The following is an 8,777-nucleotide window of genomic DNA, read 5'->3' on the forward strand; positions in this document are numbered from 1 at the left end:
TGGGCAAAAGAATCAGCCCTATTTCAGAGGGGCTTGCTAGTGTTGCAGACTGGAACTTACTTTCCTGGCAGCCTCCAACTTCCCCAGAGAAGTAGAGCCCCAAGGCCCTGGGAGAGGAGGGCTTCCCTCCTCTCATGGACTTGACAGCCCACATCAGAGCCACAGCCAGATCTTACTGAAGGCCTTGGCCCTAGAGCACGGATCCTAACAGACCAGGCATTCCTGCCTGGATCCTCACACCCAGAGTCTGTGGATAGAATTCAAGGGTTCATGAACTTGTATGAAAAAAAAGTACATATTATTTCTACTAAGCACTAACTGAAATGTAGCATTTCCTTTGATTATGAATGCAGGCCACAAACCATAATATCTGATATTCTTTCACCCATAGTTTTCACGTGATATTTCACATCATATTACAACTACACACCAACAATTTTCAACATGCTGGCAACGTTTAGATCCATTGCTAGATCTTGTTGTTTAAACCATTAATAAAGAAGTACATATTTTAATAAATTAGTTTCCTTTGTAATTCTCTGTATTTTATTTTATGCATTTAAACGTAGACACAAAAGGGTCCCTTTGGGACTGGGAGTGGTGACTTATGCCTATAATCCCAACACTTTGGGTGGTCAAGGTGGGAGGACTGCTTGAGCCCAGGAGTTTAAGACTAGCTTGGGCTACAAAGTGAGCCCTTTATCTCTAAAAATAAAATAAAATAAAATAAAAACAAATTAAAATTAAATTTTTTAAAAAAAGGAGTCCTTTGGGCTTTACCAGTGGGTTTATAGAATGAAAAAGGGAGAACATGAGACCTTGGTCAGGCAAATTTGGTTCTGAATCCTTGCTCTGCCACCTGGCAGATTCAGATGGGAATTTGTTTTTCCCATCTGTTAAATGGGAAGTTGCTGAGCAGATTAAATGAAATGGTGTGTGCAAGGCTTTCAGCATGGCCTGGGGGAGCAAAGCTGTCAGTGGACAGGGCTTAGCTCTGTCCTTCAGAGGGTGAGGATGGGTCCTGCTGGTACAAGCTGCTGAGTGCCTGGCAGAGGAGGGATGGACCTGGAGGCTAGTCTGAGGGGCCACAGCTTTGCTCAGTGGCTGTGGGTGGATCTGCCTGGGTGGGAATGAGGCTGACTGATGACTGGGCCTCCCAGCATTTGGTTCTTCCCTTGGAGATGGGAGCATGGCAGGAAAGGCAGCTGATTCGGGTGCAGGAGAGACGCAAGAAGGGAAGGGACTCAGCAGCAGTTTCCCAGTGTGGTCAGTCATCTCCTGCATCAGAATCTGCTGTGCCTGTGTCCGGCTTCCCAGACTAGTTGGGCTCTCAGTAGTGTCGGATCACATGCCTACCCACTTGCTGGGCCTTGCCCTCCTACCCCACCCCAACCCAAGCAATGAACTTTTAAGAAGTCACACTTTTCAGAATTAATTTCTTTTTAAGAATAATTTCAATGTTAAGTAACTTTCATGATAGAAAAGCCAGACTTTCTAAAATCTTTACTTGGTGTGTTGACTTCTACAAACACAAAGAAAACTCAAGGGACAGAAAAGGCTTTTGTTTTCACATACAGTATTACGGTCTGAACTATGTCCCCTGCAAAAGTGATATGCTGAATTCCTGACCCTCAGGACCTCAGAAGGCAACTGTATTTGGAGATAGGGTCTTTAAAGAGGTGATTAAGCTAAAATGAGGCCATTGGGTGAGATCTTAATCCAATTTGACTGGTGTCCTCATACAAAGAGGAAGAGACATCAGGCATGTGCTCACACAGAGGAAAGTCTTCAAGTGAAGACGCAGTGAGAAGGTGGCAAACCAAGGAAAGAGGCTTCAGAACACACCAAACCTGCCCACATCTTGATCTTGGACTTCCAGCTTCCAGAGCTGGGAGAAAACAAATTTCTGTTATTTGATCTACCCAGGCTGTGGTATTTTATTATGGCAGTCCTAGCAAATTAATACACATGGTTTTAACAACATACGTTTGTCTATTATCCATTGTGGAAACAATAAGATAATGGCCTTTGAATAAACTATCCATCAACTGATTTCTCAGCAAGATATTTCTGGATTGTCATACGTTAAAAAATTTAAAAATCAGCCAGAACCCTAGAGTATGTAAGTGACTGCCAAAGGTTTATTTAATAAGTGAATGAATCATTCAAAAATAATGAAATTTTAGGTGAAAATAGCTGAAGTAAGGGGAGGGATCTAGCAATAACCCTTTCGTAAGGAACTGGCTTTATGGGTTGAGAGAACAGAGTGAAATAATTTGCATAAATGACTTTAAAAATTTAATTACTGTTTCTTCTTTGTTGCTTACACACACACACACACACACACACACACACACCACCCCAACATTTAGAAATTCTGGACTTCCTAGTTCATTCTGTGAATGAAATGGCTGGCATCGTTTGTCTTACTAGAATGCTATTAGGTCAACATCATGGTTTAACACTTACATTTAGACAACATTCACTGATCCCAGATCAACTAGGGCATCTTGCAGCCTCGACTCACTTGTTAAACATGCAATGTTCGCTACAACGAGCACTGTGAGAGAAAGAGAACTGCTCAGCCCACTCCCAACAGTACAGGGGACACATTCTCCTCAATGGCATGGCCAACTAGAGGTCAACCATAGCTCACAGTTCAGTCCAGACGTGCCCCAGGAAACTCAGGGTTTCTTCTTCAATGTGCTCATCTAGGAAAGCAGACTCATCCCTGAATGTAAAATGATTGCCTTCCTTGGGATCAAGAAAGTGGGGTAGTTATTTAAATAAGCTGTTTCTTAGTTTCATAGCCAACTTACAATTAATTCTAGATTGCACTGCCTAGGGCCCACACTACAGAATGACATGAGGTGGGGAGTGATTCCTAATAGTCCCCAGTGAACACAGTTGACAATCCTCCAAAGGCCGGTCTCTAATCCCAAGTGGGCAGGGGTTCTATTAGAGAAGATAAGAAGCAGCTTTATCCAATTACATTTATCATTAATTTGGACTATTCAAAAATATAAAGCATTTTGCTCTATAAATGTTGCTAAAAGTAACCCTTAAATACTATCATACCTAAAATGAATGGTGGAATATTAAACTTCTTTTCCCCAAAAAGATTGAATCAATAGAGGAATATTTTATTTGCTGGGGGTGGGGGAGGGTATCAGAAATAATATAACTGGATAGATTCAAAAATCCAACTGCTCTCTTGCCCTCATTATTTTCTATTTTTATTTACATTTATTTATTGATTTTTTTTTTTTTTTTTTGAGACAGAGTCTGGCTCTGTTGCCCAGGCTGGAGTGCAGTGGTACGATCTTGGCTCACTGCAACCTCCACCTCCTGGGTTCAAACAATTCTCCTGCCTCAGCCTCCCGAGTAGCTGGGATTACAGGCGTGTGCCATCACACTTGGCTAATTTTTGTATTCTTGGTAGAGATGGGGTTTCACCATGTTGGCCAGGCTGGTCTTGAACTCCTGACCTCACGTGATCCACCCGCATCAGCCTCCCAAGATGCTATGATAATAGGCATGAGCCACCATGCCTGAACTCATTTATATTTTACTTTATATATAATGCTCTTAACTCATTTTCATCTATGTATTTCTTGAGTGCTTTTGGCATCTTCAGGTTAGTTTTTTGTTTGTTGTTGTTTTCTTCAAGATTTCTTTTTTTTCTTTTATATTGTAGAGAATACAAAAATATACAAAGATGAAAAAAAAAAGCACTGAAGTTGTATTTAACCACTAAAGGAAGCACTGAATAATAATTAATTTTTATATGAAAAAGGGTTGGGGGTAATAACCAGAGGTAACTCTTTGTTATTTTGATACATGTCCTTCCAGCTTATAAGTACATGTACATCTCTCTCTCTCTCCCTCTCTCTCTCTGTGTCACACATACACATATACACACAATTGTTTGACAAAAAAATATTAACAGAACAAAATTTATAATACATGTAACACAAAAGTGTTTTCCTGAGAAAAGGTTTTTAAATTCATATTGAGTTATTACAACCATAAAAAATAACTGCAAGGGCATTCATTACAAAGACAGTGAATCCACTCCAAGTCACCCTGCAAAAATAAAATCATCGAGCAAACTCAAATTGCTGCTAAGACGGTGAATTTTAAAAAGCATGTCGTTTTGGGATTCCTACTCAATTATTCTTGATTCTATTCTTTAGATACTCCTCCATGATGCAAACTTAGCTGGATGTATTTAAGATCTGAAAACCATTAGAACTAATTAAGATGAATTTGGCTTTGTTCTTCAACTTCCTGTAAAAAATGCTCAACAGGAAAATTGATGCTCGCAGTAAACCACAGTCATCCTGTTTCTTTAACACAATCTTTTCACAGCTGCAGTTGCCTGGAGTTTCTATTTTATGACGCGAGTCACTGCAACAGCTCTACCATCCCTTCCCCCCAGCATGTGGTCTGGCCATTTTAGAAACTTTCAATACCTTTGCAGAAAGGTTCGTTTCTATTATTGCTACTCTTCCTCTCTCCAAGCTGAAGGTCCTTGCTCAGAGCAATAAGCCATGGATACAAGAGGGGAAACAGAAAAGGCAGCTGGACTCCAGAGGAAGCAAAAGGCAGAGAAGAGGAAAACAGCTTTATTAGCAAATCAGCAGCCTCACCCAGTTGGTTCTTATGCATTGTTAGTCTCCATTTGAGCTGAATGTGGAGCACACGCTTGCCATACACAGAATCCCTCATTTCTCAAAATGTACTGCTCTTTTCTCAGTCAATCATCATTGAAAAACAATACTTCAGCAACGTCTGATTAGGTTGTCTTCTTAATGGTAAATGTCAATTTAAGTCTGCTGAACCTAGAAATGCTTCTTTTATAGTTCTTTTAGATAAGGAGGTGATTTATTTTGGCGGGGAGTAGGAAAGGTGTTTTTCAAAGAAGACATTTTGAAGCATCTCGAACATCACTAAGACTGGCTAGGAGCTTGGACACAATTTTACTGCAAGAGTACTGCTAGGGAAATAAAGGTTGCTATGAAGTAAAATTATTTTTTAATCCACTATTGTGCACATTTAATTTTAAAATTAATACAAATTCACAGACATCGAAGACCCTTTTAATAGTGAGAAAATGAAGGTGAGCTGAATGACACGCCTACCTGTCATTATTTAACTGAAGGAAAGGGAAAGGAAACATTTTTATTTTATCCATATAATTAAAGAGTAGCAGGTTTTCTCCCATACTTCCCATCTCTTTAAGGGGTTCAAATCTCCAAGCTAAAATCTGCCTAAATCGCTATCACCACATTTAGTTCTACCAGAGGATTAAGATGTGCCACTGTTTCTCTCTCTCTCTTTCTCTCTCTCTCTCTCTCACACACACATACACACACAGCATATATGTCAGCACACTTGATATATACTGTATTCATTTTATCATTGAAAGTACAGCTTTATGATATAAGCAGAAGTGTCACCAAGTTTACCTCTGAAGAAGTGAAAAGACTTAAAAAGGAAAATATCTTACTTGAGATTGTTAGTTTTAAAGATATTTACTGTTGCTGTGACATTTAAAGCAAAACATTTGTAATCTCAGATTCCCAAGGCCGGAAAAGCACCTCAAGAAATCATACTGGCTGGGTGTCGTAGCTCATGACTATAATCCCAGCACTCTGGGAGGCCAGGGTGGGAAGATAGCTTGAGCCCAAGAGTTTGAGACCATCCTGGGCAAACATAGTGGGACCCTCATCTCTACAAAAAAAAAAAAAAAAAAAAAATATATATATATATATATATATATATATATAATTAACTGGGCATGGTGGCACACATCTGTAGTTCCAGCTACTTGGGAGGCTGAGGTGGGAGGACTGCTTGAGTCCAGGAGTTTGAGGGTGCAGTGAGCTGTGATCATGCCATTGCACTCCAGTGTGGATGACAGAGCAAAACCCTGTCTCAAAAAAAAAAAAAAAAAAAACAGAAAAGAAAAAGAAAAACAGAAATCATACAATTTATAATGTTGCTTCCAAGCTGCACTTGTGAAAAAAAGCTCTTACAATTCAGATAACTTCCTCCACATTTAGTTGTTAGGTGGCCTTGGGTAAATTACTTAGCTTATGTAAGTCCGGTTTTCAAAATAATAGCACCTACTTAGTAGGGTTATTCAAGAGTTAAATGAAGGAGTGCTTAATAAGTATTAGCCATTTTCAAAAAATAAAATAAGCAAAGGTGAAGAACGTAACACAAAATAAGTGGTCAGTAAATATCACAGTCTTTCCCCCTATTTAACCACGAGAAAGAGAAACCATGAGCTGATTTAAATCAGCCTATGTGTGTACACCCATGCAAACTTCCATATTACAAGTGAATGGTGAAGGGAGATGTGTATAAAGTGCATTTCAAATTTCTCAGAAAAGCATACTGATTAAGGCATTCCTTATTCTAGTATTTTTTTACAGTTTTAATTTTCAGGACAGACAGAGGTATTTATGGAAGTCCAGGAGAAATGCTTTCTTCAACAACAAGCACATGTTTAACAATTTGGACAAAATGAGTCAAACCTTAAAGCAGAAATATATCATAATTTAAACAGCCAGAAACTTCCAAAGTAAATGATGTGTGTTCATAAAATGTTAAGAAGGCTTCAAAAGGTCATAACACTTAAAGGGTCCAGGAATTCAGTATCACTTCATCTCATATTTTAGGTAGGCTGGGGAACTTCCAGCCTACAGGCCAGATTTAGAATTTGATCAGATCTGAAGTTGCTGCTCGATCCCAGGAACTAATTTTCACCACAGGGAGTTCTCTGAATATTTCAGTCCACCCAGAGTATGTGTAACCCTTAAAAGGTTAGATATTAGAGTAGCTGAAGCGCTATGAGCAAATAGCCCATGAATAAACTTTTCAAAGAGCAATAGAAAACCTGACTTAGTGAAAAATGACTTTCAGGTAAGTCATTTAATGACCTTAGACTGATAAAAGGAAGAGTTTTGACATGATGATATTCCAGTACAGAAGAACAAAGCTTGATAAAGTTAACACATAGCACTGTAGTCCAAGTGAATTGTAAGAGTATGATTTCCACACAGATCAACCTCAAAACCTTTTCCCAGTTTCTCATCTTCCTTTCTCACTGTCCTGTCCTATTCTTTCCCCAGTCTTTCATCTTTCTCTCTACCAAGCTGTCTTACTTTGCTTAGTTAGAATCTTTCAGTAGCCTTTTCATTTACCACCTCTCCATTCTCTACTACATATACTAGTTATGCCATTAAATTATTTAAAATAACTTGTATGCCTGTAATCCCAGCACTTTGGGAGGCCGAGGCGGGCAGATCACTTGAGGTCAGGAGTTTGAGACCAGCCTGACCAACATGATGAAACCCTGTCTCTACTAAAAATACAAAAACAAAAAAAACAAAAAACTTGTACTTAGTGACTAAAGTTATATGTGCCTTCTGAGTTTTTTAAAGCTTTATTTTATATTTCTTCACGGGGAGAAAGGAACATAAGTCAAATTGTTTCTTCCTACATATTCTAGAAAAAAGTTTTTTAATGTAAAAAGTTTCCTTAGTTCTGCTCTATAAGCCTCTGAGTAGATGGCTTGAAATTTTAAAAATCACAATATTTTATGCCAAAACATTAATCATATTAAACATAAAGTTATAACTAATGCTGTAGAATTTGATTTGCGATAGTAATTGTGCACACACTGTTATAACAGGAATAGACTTATTCTAAAAGACAAATCGTATTATAAAAGACTCTGCTTAGAAATGGTTTAGTTTGAGTTTTGAACTTAAATAGCACATTGGCAGCAACAGAACTGCAACAGCTTAGTTCCATGGTATTTTCGTTTGAAGCTTCCAATGGCTCCTTGTACTTTAAAGCACTTATTGTTGCTGGCCACACCAAAGATTCAAAGGCAGTTGTGTGGACAACTGTATCATACACCAAAAGGATATATTTACCGACATAAGCCCCCAATTTAAATGGGAAAATAAATTCCTGTGGATCCAAACTTGTCCAGTGGTCAAAAAAATTCTATTGAAAATCTTGCTTACATTTTGGCTCAAAGCATAAGTTATGAATCATTCACAATCACCATAGTGGTGAAACTAGCATTCTGGGCAACAGGAATAGCTCACATGGTGCTCTACAGAAAAATTAAACAACTTTATCTTGACATACTATGGTCCATTAAAAGCCATTTAGTTCTTCCCTGTAGCTGATAAATGAAATAAACTTAGTTTGAATATAATTTTTCTTACCGTTAAAGGGTACTGCAGGGAGCCATGGTCAGGGACACAGGCAGACAGAGGGCCAGCGGGACAGGAGCCAAGAGAGAAAACTGTCCCTGAAAAAGGTATCATCTTCTAACGCAAGTGTGGGGTCGTTTTTGGACAGCCATTTTGGACAAGCTCTGGCCTCTTGTTAAATGTGACATACTGAGTCAGAGGCAGACGTCCTTCTGTGGTTATTCGCTTCCTGTCTGATTAATTTGTTGTTTGTTGTTCCTTCCTCCTTTGCTGCAGAAAAAGAAACTAGATTGGTTTTGCTTAAGAAGCAAGCAAGAAAAAAAACCTAAATTAAAAAAAATTAAATGTTTCTCCTCCCCACAAGGTGTAATACACAGCTATTTGGTACAGTGACAAGAGGAGATGAGCACCTCCACTCAGTGAAGAGTCCAACTTTATTCTAGATATTCCCACAAAAATAACTGTTCATGGAACTTGAGATTCCTTTAGGAAAATTATATTTGAAAGTATCACTGTAAATACTGACTATTCCATTGA

General features: G+C 38.6%; 1 protein-coding gene across 19 annotated transcripts in view, besides 1 other annotated feature; it reads right to left on the reverse strand.

Moving 5' to 3' along the window:
* Positions 1-8,777, reverse strand: part of WIPF1 (WAS/WASL interacting protein family member 1) — a 123,340-nt gene that overhangs the window by 29,775 nt on the left and 84,788 nt on the right. The window contains exon 10 of one of the 19 annotated variants that reach the window (XM_047445757.1): positions 8,253-8,510. The gene's annotated coding sequence lies outside the window, so the exon portion shown is untranslated. 19 annotated transcript variants of the gene reach the window in all.
* Positions 8,479-8,658: an enhancer, noted in NCBI's record as "active region_16776". NCBI's record gives its function as "activates an Ori minimal core promoter by ATAC-STARR-seq in GM12878 lymphoblastoid cells {active_cell/tissue: GM12878}" and the evidence as "EXISTENCE:reporter gene assay evidence [ECO:0000049][PMID:35858748]".

Source organism: Homo sapiens, chromosome 2 (genome assembly GCF_000001405.40).
Source record: "Homo sapiens chromosome 2, GRCh38.p14 Primary Assembly".
NCBI classification, from domain to species: domain Eukaryota; kingdom Metazoa; phylum Chordata; class Mammalia; order Primates; family Hominidae; genus Homo; species Homo sapiens.